This window comes from Homo sapiens, chromosome 9, assembly GCF_000001405.40.
Source record: "Homo sapiens chromosome 9, GRCh38.p14 Primary Assembly".
In the NCBI taxonomy this organism is placed as follows: domain Eukaryota; kingdom Metazoa; phylum Chordata; class Mammalia; order Primates; family Hominidae; genus Homo; species Homo sapiens.
Window position 1 is genome coordinate 85,625,568 of NC_000009.12, and position 16,210 is coordinate 85,641,777.

The following is a 16,210-nucleotide window of genomic DNA, read 5'->3' on the forward strand; positions in this document are numbered from 1 at the left end:
TATAATAAAACGTTTTTAAAAATACAGTTTTTTTTTTGCCGGGCACGGTGGCTCACACCGGTAATTCCAGCACTTTGGGAGGCTGAGGTGGGCAGAACACGATGGCAGGAGATCGAGACCATCCTGGCTAACACAGTGAAACCCCATCTCTACTAAAAATACAAAAAATTAGCCAGAAGTGGTGGCACGTGCCTGTAATCCCAGCTACTTGGGAGGCTGAGGCAAGAGAATCACTTGAACCTGGGAGGCAGAGGTTGCAGTGAGCCAAGATCGTGCCACTGCACTCCAGCCTGGGTGACACAGCGAGACCCTGTCTCAAAAAAAAAACCTAGTTTTGTTTTTTTTTTTTTTTTTTTTAGGATATATGAAAAAACAATGGAAAGAAAATAAATCAAAATGTTAATAATGGTTATCTCTGCAGGATGGGACAAAAAGTGACTTCTTCCTACTCTCTAATGTTATGGACTATAAAAACAAAAAAATGCACCAAAAATGCTAAGCATACTAAAATAAGAGATAAATTTAATTTTAATTTTAAATCCAACTTAAACCAAAAATATAGGTTTAAGTAATCATCAGTGTGTTTGCAATACAATTTTTTAAATGTTAGTGTGCTATCTACATTGAGATACGAATCTTACTTATAATGGACTGTTTCTCTTTCATTTGGAGGTAAAGAGATTTTTAACCAAGTTTTATTCATTTTATACTGAACTTTCTTTAAAACAGTGATTGCACATAAGAAAACTGTACAGTAGAAATTCAAAATAACAATCAGGATATTTTCACTGAAATCATGTAAAGGAGTCTAATGTTTCCTTTTCTGAAAGTGATAAAACAGTAATTCTTCATTAATTTTGACATCATTCATTTACAATGCATTCAGGTAGGGAATGTGATAAGTTGGCAAATAATTCACAAAATGTCATCATTTGCTCAAACATAAGATGCAGAAGACTAGGCAAATAAGCAAACCAGAATTACCATCCTCAATGTATTTTTTAAAATAAGCACTTCTGAGTACTTTGGAAATACCTTTAACCTGAACTATATTTGATATTTTATCACAAATATAGAACCATAAAGCCTTCAGAGTGGCTACAGGGGTCAGCAAACTTCTCCTACAAAGAGCCAGATAGGCTTTGCAGGCCACATGACAGCCATTCAACTCTGCCATGGTAGCACAAAAACAGTCATAGACAATGCATTAAAAAACAAGGCATGACTATGTTCCAACAAAGTGTTATTTGTGGACACGAATATGAATTTCATATCATTTTCATGTGCCACGAAGCCTTATTTTCCTCTCAATTGTTTTAACCACTTAAACATGTGAAAACCATTTTTAGCTCATGGGCTGAACATAACCAGGCAGATTTGGCAGATTTGGGATGGATTTGGCACACAGACCGCAGTATGCCAACCCTAACCTAGGTGAATGACTACCAAACTTTTTTAATATGACCAACAAGAAACACATTTTAAAGATCACAAGCCTACAAAAGAGAAACAGAGAGGTGAATCAAAAGAATTATGAAACAATACTTAGCTGTACTACATGTGACACACTGTTATTTTAATATTGGTTACTAATGAGTATCAACCCAAATTTGATAAACACTGGTCTAATCTTTGCTTTTAAAAAGTTGAGAAAATTGTTATCCAGAGAAATAAAGTTATTTATGTGCGCGCACACACACACACAGAGTGGGAGAGTTAAGTCTAAAACTTGCTTTTCAGAGAGCATCCTGCCCTGCCCTGACAAGATGTCTCACCACATATATGGTCTCACCCCTCTCATCAAGTCTAACCCAATTATCCAAGCATTTCTGCCATACACATATGTTCTTCCAGTCTCACATTAGTGTTACTTGGAGGAACAAATAATTTTGAAGAGTTTCCTACCCATTATTCAAAAATAATGGGTAAAAAGGTGAAAAGGGAGAGTGGAGGCTTTGGAGTATGCACCTGTGAAGATCCACACTGCACTGCTCACCATAACTCCCATGTAAACACTTGAAAAACTCAGTTGACCCCTGAACAACACAGGTTTCAACTGCACAGGTCCACTTATTTGTGGATTTTCCTTCCCCTTTGCCCCTGCTGAGACAGGCAGGAAGACCAACCTATCCTTCTTCTTCCTGCTCTTCAGCCAGTTGACAAGAATGAAGACCTCTATGGTGATCTACCTCCACTTAATGATTAGTAAACATATTTTCTGTTCCTTATGATTTTCTTAATAACATTTTCTTTTCTCTAACTTACCTTTATTGCAAGAATACAGTATATAATACAAATAATGTACAAAATAAGTGTGAACTGTTTACATTACTGGTAAGGCTTCCGGCCAACAGTAAGCTATTAGTAGTTAAGTTTTGAGGGAATTAAAAGTTATACTTGAATTTTTGACCACACAGGGGCTGGTGCCCCAACCTCTGCATTGTTCAAGGGTTAACTATATTTGCAAAGAGTATATAAAATTAGGAGGGGAAAGGCAATAACTTTCAAATACCAAAGTACTGTTGTCTATTACACAATCTGTAAACATTTTTAAATAAAAATACTTTATTTTTTGTAGTAGTCATGGCTAAGGTGATTAACATTATTGGGGAAGTCCTATACATCTAAGTAATATGAATAGAATCATATTGTTTTGTTGAAATATGAAACCTTCATCCTCAACAATGCAATCGTTCTCAGGGCTACAACTCCATAGTGAAATATGGTTATACTCTCCTGCTGCATGTCAACTATCTAATACCCACAGAAATGTTGGCAAATATGGCAGGAAAATGGAGCGACAAATATGATGAAAAGTGTTCTTTAAAACACAGGGTATACAAATCAGTCAAACTTGGTAAGAGTCACCATCATACAATTATATGATGATGAGAGACTAGCAAAGGTTTTAGATTGCTTCAGAATTTATGACTTATTTCTGCAGCAACAAATCAGAACACATCTCCATCAAGGTCGTGAAAATCAAAGAGAAAACATCTCTATAGGGAAAGAAATCTTTGAAACTTCTGGAGAGACGTGGATCACTCGATTCTCAAATGCATTTTGGAGCCAGTCCTGTTTTTCTCATCGCAAATTTTCTAGGAGCAAATACAGGTAACAACAGAGTTGGTTGTTTTTGTTTTTTTGTTTGTTTCTTTGTTTTTGAGATGGAGTCTCACTCTGTTGCCCAAGCTGGAGTGCGGTGGCACGATCTCAGCTCACCGCAACCTCTGCCTCCTGGGTTCAAGTGAGTAGCTGGGACTATAGGTGCCCGAGTAACTGGGACTACAGGCATGTGCCACCACACCCAGCTAATTTTTTGTATTTTTAGTAGAGACAGGGTTTTACTGTGTTGGCCAGGATGGTCTCAATCTCCTGACCTCGTGATCCACCCACCTCGGCCTCCCAAAGTCCTGGGATTACAGGCATGAGCCACCACGCCCAGCCAACAACAGAGTTTTGAATTTCCAGGTTTTTTGTGTTTGTTTCCTTCAGCTGCATCTCCTTTGCACTTTAACTTGCATACCAACATATCTATGTTTAAAACACCTGTACCAACTCTCATCCACCTTTTGATTTCTTATCATGCTACTTACCTCACACTATTAAAAATGTATCTTAAAGCTTTGTTTTGAACTCAGTGGTATATTAGACTGTACACAGGCAGTAAGAATGTCAATTACTTCAGGAAAAAGTCCTACAGATGCCCTAATATATGGAAGAAGCTGGACTCTAATCTGTAGATTACATTTACAGGACAATTCTGAGGTCCATGTTTCAGAAACAAGGTGAGAAAACTAATCACAAATATTAAGACAGAGAAGGTTGGAGAAGAGTCACAGTAACTCCCAGTATGTATAAATTCCTCCATCATCAGGATAGGCTCAGTCAGGGAGAGAGAGGGAGTGAAGCTTGGAACCATGGATAGAACAATATTACCTGAAAGGTCAAGCAAGCCAGGCAAGGACAAAACCCAGTATCAGAAATAGCTGCTCAAAGAGGACAGAGGTCACCAGAGCTAAGGGTGGTAGTCCTCAATCTGCATACAGACATTCACAGAGATATGACAGCTAGTCAAAGTCATCATGCATTTAACTATAATACATCTACGCTTAATTAAAACATTAAGTTTCTTTACATATTGATATATACAATCAAGTAAACGGAGTTTAGCAATGGTTATCAAATGCTGCTCAGAAGCACTGCTTGGGAGGGATGTATGTCCCTTACTAACATAAACAGGTAAAATATCTAAATAAGTGTCTTGACCGATGAAAGCTTTCATAATATAAAGTCCATGAGAGGAAATAAGAGGGTTCCTTTGTAGTTAAAATTAAGGCTGAGAATCAGAGGCTTATATAAAATTATGCCTCTTTTCTACAATCCTTCTTCCTTCTAACCTTACCTCAAATATTACAGGCTAGTAAGAGAAAATACTTTCAGTTTGAGGCAATTTAATAACAAAACTTGCTTTCAGGGCTTAAAGAGCACTTAAAATTCAGGAAGTGCCTTCTGTAGTCAAGATGACATCTTTGACTTTGGAGAGGTAAAGAGCCTAAGAGATGATGCTGAAAAGAAGAAATATCAAGTTGCTGCCTGACTCTGACTCACTCCAGGTGGGTCGTTCAGATTCTTCAAAAAGCAGATGCCAAGGCACAATGAGATATGCTCCTGTGGGCCTCTCCTAAGGGGAAACTTGGAAGAAAAACAGTGGGACAGAGTTCATCCTCAATCACTGCAACTGTTCTCAGGGTTGCAAGCCCTCACCTCTATCCCCCAGGATCAATTTACTTACTTACAGGATTGACTTACTTACTTACTTACTTATTTATTTAGTTATTTATTTATTGAGACAGAGTCTTGCTCTGTCACCCAGGCTGGAGTGCAGTGGCACGATTGATTGATTGATTGATTGATTGATTGATTGATTGAGACAGAGTCTTGCTCTGTCACCCAGGCTGGAGTGCAGTGGCACGATCACGGCTCACTGCAGCCTCTGCCTCCTGGGTTCAAGCGATGCTCCTCCCTCAGCCTCCTGAATAGTTTGGACTACAGGTGTGTGCCATCACACCTGGCTAATTTTTGTGTTTTTAGTAGAGATGGGGTTTCACTATACTGGCCAGACTGGTCTCAAACTCCTGACCTCAAATGATCCATCCACCTTGGCCTGACAAAGTGCTGGGATTAGAGGGGTGAGCTACTGCACCCAGGCCCCAGGATCTATTTAAATCCCTCTCACCCTCAGCTATCACCTCTGCAGGTCTTGATAGCTTATCTGATTAAGCAATCCAAACTCTCATTCCTGAGCAGTGTGAGCCCCTGGTAATCATTCTCATTCCAGGCCGGCTGTAACATGTCCATTCACAGTTAAAATTGAGGAAGGGAGTAGGCAACAGGCTAATCACTGGATTGCCTATGTTCCACACATAGTCAACCCATTGCCACTGTGTAAAAACAACCCTACCTCTATTAGCTGATCTGGGTCAATCACTTGTTGTCAAAATGGTATGCTTTTCCCCTCACCTGCTGGTCTTAGACACAAGGAGTCCAGAGTACCCCACTGGCAACCACATCTTGTTGTTACATTGTACCCTGTGGTAAGACTGCACCCACTTTGGGAATGAGGACTTCTAACCCTGGAGAGCCCAGAGGTGGAGGGACAGAAAACAGAAAGTCCCTGGGTGGATACTGGATGCTACACTAAATAGGGCCACTTCTGTTCCCACCTCCTGGTTCCCAGGCTTGTGTATTCTTTCTACAGAATTATGGAAACATTTCTAATTTACTGTATGCACTGCATGCTGCAAGATGGCAACCCAACCATTCCCTGAGTTAGAGCTTTACATGGGCCTTTTGAAGGCCACTGTAGCACTCCACGAGGCCAGCTGCCTCTGGATGGTGCCATCTGTAACATGGTAGATGCCCTGGCACAGACCCACTCCCACACATCTTTCCCAGGGAGGTAAGTCCCCCATTCTGATGCTATGATGTACGGGATGACACGTCTGTGGATCAAGGGGCCAACCAGTGGCACTAAACATACACTAAGTTGCCAAGTAAAAATAATGAATTATATAAGATGCTATAGGTAAAAAAAAATAAGATGCAGTTATTTTCTCAAAGGAACTTATAGTCTAAAGAGAATCAAATACAGCAAGTTCTTCCTTGTTTATTACACACTATACTTGTAACAAGGGTATACAATTTTTTTCAGATACTGATACAAGCCATTATCATAAAACCTTCTCCATAATCACCAAAACCAGTCCAAATGCACCAAAAAAGGTATTTTTATATGACAAATATTCACTCATTGGCAATATTTAATATCATTTGCAATATCTAATCTTACTTGGCAATATTTAATAATCTTATTGATGTTATGAATCCTGTACTTTTATCTATTTCCAATTAAAATGTTTTCCAATTAAAATTGCAAACTTTGCAAAATAATACTGTCTATATTGTTTCATTTATAGTCTATTTTTATTTTTTCAATTTTTACTTTTTTTTAGTACATAGTAGGTATATATATATATATTTATGGGGTAAATGAGATATTTTGATACAGACATACAATGCGTAATAATCACTTCAGGGTAAAAGGGGTATCCCTCACTTCAAGCATTTATCCTTTCTTCCAATTATACTTTTACTTTTTAAATGCAAAATAAATCACTGTTGATTGTAGTTGCCCTGTTGTGATTTATAGCCTATTTTTAAATCCTATACTTAACTCAAGTTCAAATGACAAATTACTAAGTTAACAAATATTGCTAAGAATATTTATTCAAAGATTATTAAATAATCTGTTTTTGTATTTTGAGATTCAGTATTAATAGAAAATTTCTAAACTATCCAATGGTCAGGTTTATCATTCTGGCTTCATCTGAATAAGGAATAAGCTCAAGAAATAAAGTAAACCAACAAGGACAATTTCAAAACAAGGCAAAATTTCCAAAGCAGAATTTAAAAATACAGTAACTTATAACTCACAGTAATTATCTTCCTAAATGCCCAAAGTAATTTTTTTAAGACTGCCTCATATCTTGACAATAGCCTTATTTAGAAGAGGGAAGAAATATGCAACTCACCTTTGTACACCATAAGGCCTTTCTAAAATAGGCTCTTTGAATGGAGGCGGAATGTGACCAAAATAATCGGGATAAGCCACCTCTGAATATTCTGGGACAGACTTCGTATTTTTCACAATCTCAATATAGAGGTCTGGGTCATGGAGTGTTGGTCCATCAGGTACTTCAACCGATGCTTGTTCTACCGATGAATTTGACTCAGTATCTTCATCATCTTCAGTTTCAACTCCAGTGCAGCAAAGCTTCCCTAGCTGAACTGTTCTTCCCTCAAACAGAACATTTCCACAAGTAGCCATGTGTGGACATGCTTTAGCACAGGTAAGGACAGTAAGAGGAAGACTGCAGTCCTTCTTCATTTCTGCAGTAAAACCTGGGGCTGTTTGAGAAGGAATATTCTGCAATGTAATTCGGTCCAAGGCCTTTACAATATCATTGTTTAAACCATGGACTGATGAAATAGTTCTATTTTGATCACCTGGCTGCTGTTGTAATGTTCTATCATTATCTTTAATATCTTCTTTTGCTAGATCCATAAAGGTAGACTTCTTTTCACCTTCATCTCCTTTAGAAGATATGTTCTCCTTCATTACAACTTTTCTTAAATTGCCAGAATTCCCAGATGTTTCCTCGCCTGCCGTAGGAACAACAATAGGACCACGTACTTTTCCCTCAAATACAAAAGGCTTTGGTTCTTTGGAGATTAAATCATAGTCCTTTGAAAATAAAAACATGTTTAATCTTTTAACTGTAAATATTAAAACATATTAACAAAACTAATACATTCATGTTATATATTGCTTCAGAAATTTTTGGAAATTTTAAAGATGGATAAAACCGGATATGTTTTCATTTCACTAAAAAGACAAAATTTTTAACCACAACAAAATTCATAACAACTACTTTACTTTGCCTACATGTCACAGAAATGTGGGAAATCTTAGAATTCTAAACAGAAAAACATAAAGACTCCAAAATCCTATTAGGGACAACAACTAAATTGTTATTCATTCATTCAATAACATTACAGTGTCTGTTTTGTGCAATATTTATGAAGTGTCTATTTTGTGCCAAGCTTTGTCTCAAGCACTTAAGACACTTAAAAAAACAACTCTTCCCTTTTGTAGCTGACATTTGTATAGGGGTAGAAAAGAGGACTGTCAATACAACAAGTAATAAATACGATATATATTTCATATATAGAACATTAGAAGGGTAAAGCTCTACAGAAAAAAAAAAAAAGGAGGGCAAGGCCGGGCACAGTGGCTCACACCTGTAATCCCAGCACTTTGGGAGGCTGAGGCAGGGAGATGACCTGAGGTCAGGAGTTCAAGACCAGCCTGGCCAACATGGTGAAACCCTGTCTCTACTAAAACTACAAAAATTAGCTGGGCATGGTGGTGGTGGACACCGTAATCCCAGCTACTCAGGAGGCTGAGGCATGAGAATCACTTGAACCCAGGAGGTGGAGGTTGCAGTGAACCGAGATCATGCCACTGCACTCCAGCCTGAGTGACAAAGTGAGACTCTCTCTCAAAAAAAAAAAAAAAAAAAAAAAGGAGGACAGGACAGGCAGGATGTAATGTGGATTGGGAGTACCAAGAGAGCAGAGGTAGGTGGCAACTCTAAATGCCATTTGTTAAGGAGCCTCATGAGCAGATGAAATAGAAGCAAAGACGGTGAGGGCACCACACAAGGGGTGCATTCTAGGCAGAGAGGACTAGAGCACATAGCTCCCAGAGTGGAAGAACACCTGAGGTGTTCAAAGAACAGCAAGGATGGGATAGCTGGGAAAGAATGGACAAGATGAATGCCACGATGAATGCCAAGCACTGGAGAGCCTTGCACACTATAAGAATTTGGGTTTTTACTCTGAATGAGATTGGAAGCCATGACAGGGAGGGATGCCATGACACGAGTTATTTTTGAAAGATCAGATCCTAGTGCAGGGTTTCTGAATGACAGTGGCAAACATTTTGGGCCAGATCATTCTTTTTTGGATGATTTAAACAGATAAATAAGGTGTATATTGAAGTCATTTCCAAAATTTTGCTATTATACAAAACTGCAATAAAAATCTTTTTGCAAAGAGTTTTTGCTTTGTTTATAATGATTTCCTAAGCACTGAAATGGAACTGCAGAATCAGATATTATAATCAATTTTAATAATGCAAACTGGCCAGAACACCAAACTCTCCAAAAACACTTGTATTAATGTATATTCCCAGTAACTATACATAAGAGTATCTATTTCAACTGCTCTCTTCTTTGCCAACATTCGATACTATGGTTTTTTAAAAAAAAATTTCTAATGTGGTAGATAAGAAATATTATCTTACTGCTATTTTAATTTGCATTTCTCTGACTACTGGGAAGCAAACACTTTTCTATACATCTGTTAATCAGTCGCAATTCTTCATAGGTAACTTTTTTGTTCCTGGATACAGGGTTTTCTTTTTTTACGGTATAAATTTTCATGTTAAAAAATTTGTATACACATACATACATGAATCCACCAGTTAACCCATTTTTTGAAAATATTTTTCTGGATTTGCAATTGATCTTTTAATCTGGGTTAATTTCCTTATATACATTATGGAGTCCAAATTAAGAATCTTCCATTGTGATTTATTCCTTGAATGTCCACTGTATACAAAGCAAGGATTCAAAGATGATTCACAGGATCCCCTGTACTACAGCTAAGCCAAGAAGACAGTGGAAGCAATAAGGAGGAAATAGGTAGATCTACCTTAAAAGGGTTAAAGGGGTAGTAAGTTTGCATTAAAAAACACATTTTGTAGGAAACATGGTAGGCTAAGTATCCACCCCACAGAACTATTTACAACTTTTACATATATTAAATATTTACAATTGTTACATATATTAAAATATTTTAAGTTTGTCATTAAGTGGATAAGAAAGCAAGGATAAAGGCAAAGTATCAAATGAAGAAGGGATCCCTATGTGATAAGCTAAAGACTGAAGCTACCTTTCACTTTGAAAACATTTGCTAAACCAGGTGACCTTGGGTACAGATTTTCCCATCTCAAAGGCGATGAAGGACAGGAGAAAAACCTTGAACTGGCATTAAGGTGATTTCCCTCTCAAAAAGATGAAACTCCAGTACTACATCTTCAGTATATAGGTCCTAGAAACACTCCCACCACAAAAGAAAAAAAAAAAACACGTAAAAAGAAAAGCCAACTGTCTTAAATTTTAAACCTTAGCTCTAAGATGGTGAAAAGTAGCACCACTCACAAACTGGTATTAAAAACCGGCCATCAAATCACATGGATTCGCAGCCTGAATTCATGTCATTTTGGTGGTCCAAAAGCCCTTGAGGATTCAATCTATAATGGTGACTCTCAAAAGCAACAGCTCCTGGAGTTTCCACATAATTTCCACATACAAACTTATAAAGAAGAAAAGAAACCTAAACATACAATTCAACAAGGTAGAAGGAAAAAGAACCAAAAGAAACATTAGATATTGAAAAAGACCTACCAGAATCTCAGACTAAGAAATGACCATATTTAATATGTTCAAAGAAATAAAATATAGAAAACAAGAAAGACTGATTAAATGCATTTTGTAAGGTTTCTTTTTTTTTTTTTTTTTTTTTGAGAGGGAGTCTCGCTCTGTCTCCAGGCTGGAGTGCAGTGGCGCAATCTCAGCTCACTGCAAGCTCCAACTCCCTGGTTCAAGCAATTCTCTCTGCCTTAGCTTCCCGAGTAGCTAGGATTACAGGCACGCACCACCACACCCAGCTACTTTTTGTATTTTTAGTAGAGACGGGGTTTCATCATATTGGCCATGGTCTCGATCTCCTGACTTTGTGATCCCCCCTCTTGGCCTCCCAAAGTGCTGGGATTACAGGCTTGAGCCACCGCACCTGGCCCCTAGTAGATATTTCTAATGACAGATGAGACAAAGCCAAAAAGAGAATTAGGAAACTGACAGATAGTTCTAATGAAATAATCTGAAGGCAGCACAGAGAGGCAAAGAAAAGGAAAACAGAAAAAAGAGGTTAAAAGACATGAAAGGGAGTAAAAAGGTCTACGTTCAATTAGAATTGCAAAAGAGGGAGGGCAAAAACAAAACGCAGTAACTGAAGAAGAGAACGCAGAGTTTTTCCAAATCTTATGAGAAAACAACTCACAGAATCCAAATACAATAAATCCCAAACAGGATTTTAAAAAAGAAAATCCACACTTAGTCAACATTACTAGGAACTGTAGCATTAAAGCAAAAAAAGTATATGTTAAAAGCCACCAAAAATAGTCTCTTATAAAATAAAAACATACACTTACCATACATACCACCCAGCAAGTTCACTGATAGGTATTTACCCAAGAGAAATGAAAGCATATCTCCCCAAAAAGTTTTTTTTTTTTTTTTTTTAGACAGAGTTTCGCTCTTGTTGCCCAGGCTGGAGTGCAATGGCATGATCTCAGCTCACTGCAACCTCCAGCTCCCGGGATTAAGCGATTCTCCTGCCTCAGCCTCCCAAACAGCTGGGATTACAGGTGCCCATCACCATGCCCAGCTAATTTTTTGTATTTTTAGTAGAAAAGGGGTTTCACCATGTTGGCCTGACTGGTCTTGAACTCCTGACCTCAGGTGATCCACCCGCTTCAGCCTCTGAAAGTGCTGGGATTACAGGCATGAGCCACCATGCCTGGCCACCCCAAAAAATTTTGTGCACAAAATGTTATCAACTTTACTCATATTAAAGTCCAATGAAGTCTAAAACTTCAGACATTCCAACACGCATCCACAAAGAAATTGTGGTGTATTTACAAAATAAAATACTATCAAGCAATAAGGAAAGAACCACTGTTATATGCAGCAACATGGGTAAACCTCAAAAACATATGCTCAGCAAAAGCCTGACCCTAAAAAGTAAATGCTGTATGATTCAATTTATAAGAAGTTCTAAAACAGTCAAGACTAGTCACAGTGACAGAGAGCAGATCAGCAGTCATCTGCGCAGGAGATGAAGAGACTACAAGGGGCCCAAGGAGACTTTCTGGAATGACAAGAAATATTTCTGTCTCAATGGGTGGTAGTCACATAGGTGTATAAATGTGTCAAAACTCACTGAACTTAAGTGAAACTTACTGTATGCAAATTTTAACTCAATAAAGTTGATTTTTTAAAAGTAACCAGAGAAAGAGACTAATTTTAAGAATGTTTACAAAATAAAGACACTTTCGGGGAGGGAGAGCAAGACAGCATGTGCACAAGTGCACATGCAAGTACACGCCACTAAACGACGTGATCCCAACAGAAGGTCTGAGACACAAAAGGTAATGAAAAATTTTAAAGTGGTAAAAATGTGGGTAAGTCTACACTAAACATAAAAAAGCAAAGCAGTAATGTCAAATAGGTTTTTTATATATCTTAACTCTAGTTTTTAGAAAACCCACTTGACGTTACTGCTTTGCTTTTTATGTTTAGTAAAAAAAAAGTGTGTATATATATATGTTGATTTGGGAAGTCATGGTAGTTAGAATACTCGAAGTTTCCATTTATGGCTGAGGGAAAGAGGAAAGAAAGGTCCTGATTTACTTTAGACTTTGATAAATATGTTGGAAAATCTAGAGTAACTAGAATTTTTGCGTATTTGTCAATAATCAAACTAATACTTTAAATGGATACAGTTTATGTAAACTATACCTCAAAAAAGTTGATTAAAATAAAAAAAAGACTGTATATACAGTTTTCAAACTAGTAATAGGGAAAAGGTGGAGTAAGAGAAAGATAATCCAAATGAAGGCAAGAAAAAGAGATAAACATAAAGAGATAAAACTATTAAAATAAGATTTCATAAATATAAATCCAAATATAGAAGTAATTATATGTAAATGATCTAAATGCTCCAGTTAAATGACAAAACTCAGATTTGGTATTTTTAAAATCCAACTATACGCTGTTTAAAAAATACACATCGAAGGATACTGAAAAGTTAAAAGTTAATATAAGTATATTAATATTTTTTAAAGTACTTTTTGTCTTAGAATCTTAGAGGTAAAGATAGTAACTTCATAATGATAAAAAGTCCAACTCAAAAAGGAAGAAAACTCAATCTACATGTATATACAATAAATAATAACCCTCAAAAAATATATAACAAAAAACTAACAGACCTGCAAATAGAAACACACTCATAATCATAATCACAAGTGAGAAATTTTTTCATTGTGAGAAATTTTTAAAATACTTTTCACAGTGATTAATAGAATAAGAATAAAAATCCATAAGGATAAAAGAGAACTTAACTTCTCAACACAATTAACAATCTTGTCCTAATAGGCAAATAGACAACTGTGACTAACGAATATAGAATTCTTTTCAAACACATAAGAAAGAGTAACAAAAGTTGATCATATCCAAGGCCATAAAACGAGTCTCAAAATTTTTAAAAGGTTATGATTACAAAGACTGTGTCTTCTTATTCTACAACTATATGCTAGAAATAAATTTAAAAGATTTAAAATTTTTTATCTTTTTTAGAAAGCCAATTTTAAAAATTATCTTTTTTAAAAAACCAATGAATCAAAAAAAATAAGTTTCAGAGTAAAGATAATAAAAACACTAAACATCAAAATTACTGCTTATACGATGCAGCAAAAACAGTAATTATAGGAGGAAAATTTATAGCCTATCTATGCATGCATACATACACACACCCATGCGCGCGCACGCGCACACACACACACACACACACACACACACACATATGAAAAGAATAAGGCTGAAAATTACTGGACATCTCCCTTAGATGACAACGCAAAAAAAGAAAATAAAAAAGAATGAAAGCAGCAAAAGTCAAGACACAGCACTTTAAACATTATTTAGAGATATGAGGATCAACTTCAAAAACATACAAAAAGTAATTTCAGGATTTAGCATGTGGGAAAGGACTACCTATATAAAACTATTTGACACTTTAAACTTTCTCCATGAATAACTTTGACAAAAATTTAAAACCAAATTTAACAAAAGGAAAACAAGAAAGAAAAACAAAATATAACAAAAGTCCATAGTAAATGCCATCATGCTACCACAGACATATGAATAAAAGAACTGTGAAAATGCAGAATTTTGATACTTTCATTATTCTGCCATCAAGAAACAAGAGAAAATAAAACTGTAATTGTCACTATGAATAAATAAACATAGCTTTAAAAGCATGGTGAGGTCACTTCACAAAGGATGTTGATAATTACTTTAATAATACCATACGTTGCCTTCGAACAGCATTCATTTTCCTTCCATCTGGCCACTGAATAATGGCCTTAACACAGCTGGAAACAAAGCAGGCGGTGTTCAAGATTGAAACAAACACATAAAGTAATCTTAAGCATTAATGGTTGATGCTGAAAATAATATACAAATGAAAGTGGAAAAAGTCATAATTGAAACTAACTTCATTTATGTTTATTATCTCATGATCTACAAAAAATTGATACAAAGATAGCTGAAGAAAATTCTTTCAAACACATCCTATCTGGAACCAACCAATCTTTTTAATCCTTGAAAGCATGTCACTTACATATTGCTGCCTAAAATTCAAATACACACTTCAAAAAACAGAGCCTAAAGTATCAAATAATGCATTCCTTTGAAACTTAAAAATGACAAAGATAATCAAGTGGCAACACAATTACCTTAGAAATAATTTTCTGATTATGTAAATAAAAGACGATATGCTATTTCCTATTACATACGCTACAGAAATAGAGCTACTCTATATAAAACTTTACAGCAGAATAGACAATGCATTAATAAATGTGTACTACTTGAAATATCTGAAGCAGCATCTTTCGCTTAAAGAAAATAAAAAGGAGTAACTTAGTGAGAAGCTCTTTCACTCAGATCTGTCTTTACAATCTGACCCTGGCCACACCTATTCAGACCCAAAGCAGGAAACTGCTCTAGGAGCAGCCAAACTAATGGACAAGTTGGCCAGCTGTTCATAAAGTGCCATGTAGGAAATCATCAAGGTTAGCCTATTCTGGGTGACAAACTATAATTAGAAAACAGGGAATCTAAACATAGAATGCAAGACAACTCATCACAATCTAAAAGAAAGAAAACTCATTTGTGAAAGGATAAGAATCAAAGTCCTGGACTTAATACCTATAATCAGGTTACTTTTTTCTATTCCCAAATCAAAACTACAATCTGTAATCACATGAGAGTAGTGCCCTCTTAACTAAGGTTTTGATTTCCATGGTTTCAGTACTGGAGGTTAATCACAGTCTGAAGTATTAAATGGAAAAGTACAGAAATAAACAATTTATAAGTTTTAAAGAGTGCTCCATTCTGAGTAGCATACCACCATGGTCCATCCCACCCAGGACATGACTCTTCCTTTGTCCAACGTATCCACAGTATCTATGCAACTGACCTGTTAGTCACTCAGTAGCCATCTGCTACCAGATCAAAAAAACATGGTATATAAAGGGTTTGGTTTCAGGCATCCACTGGGGGTCTTGGAACCTATCTCCCACGGATAAGGGGGGCCTACCGTATATATTTCTCATATGTACAGAAAAAGTAGAAGGTACAGAAGAAACAGGTGACTTCTTCACACAATAATCGATTTCCTCCTCAAACTTTTTCCACAGTATTCTTCTGCCTTGATTTAGCAGTATTTGTTATTACTGATATTTTCAAGTGGTTCTTAACTAGACACAAATGTGTTAAAAGAGCTCACGGATAACTGCTGTAGGTTGAATGAAAGAGAATCAACCTATACCCTTTCTCAAATGCCTCTTCCTGTCTTCTTTTTTTTTTCTTTTGACAAATACCTTCTCTTTCATTCCTGCCTTCCTTCTATTACCCCGATTTCAAAGTACCTTCTCATGTACCTCAAATCTAGGGGGAATACCAAGACACCAGAGCAGGGGGTGGCAGGGAAGGCTGCAGAAGGTGGACAGTTGTTGCATCTTTTATGGCATCTAAGGCTCCTAAGTTCCCAAGCTGAAACCTGAATGATTAGAACTATGAAATGTAAATTCTAGGTGATAAATGTTTCTTTTTTTTTTTTAGACGAAGTCTCATTCTGTTGCCCAGGCTGCTGGAGTGCAGTGGTGCGATCTTGACTCACT

General features: G+C 36.6%; 1 protein-coding gene across 25 annotated transcripts in view; it reads right to left on the reverse strand.

Moving 5' to 3' along the window:
- AGTPBP1 (ATP/GTP binding carboxypeptidase 1) overlaps nucleotides 1-16,210 on the reverse strand; it is a 258,945-nt gene that overhangs the window by 79,029 nt on the left and 163,706 nt on the right. For all 25 annotated transcript variants that reach the window (XM_047423094.1, XM_047423090.1, XM_047423089.1 and 22 more), the window contains one exon: nucleotides 7,095-7,807. In XM_047423094.1, the coding sequence (XP_047279050.1) occupies nucleotides 7,095-7,807 (713 nt within the window). The remainder of the gene's footprint in view (nucleotides 1-7,094; nucleotides 7,808-16,210) is intronic.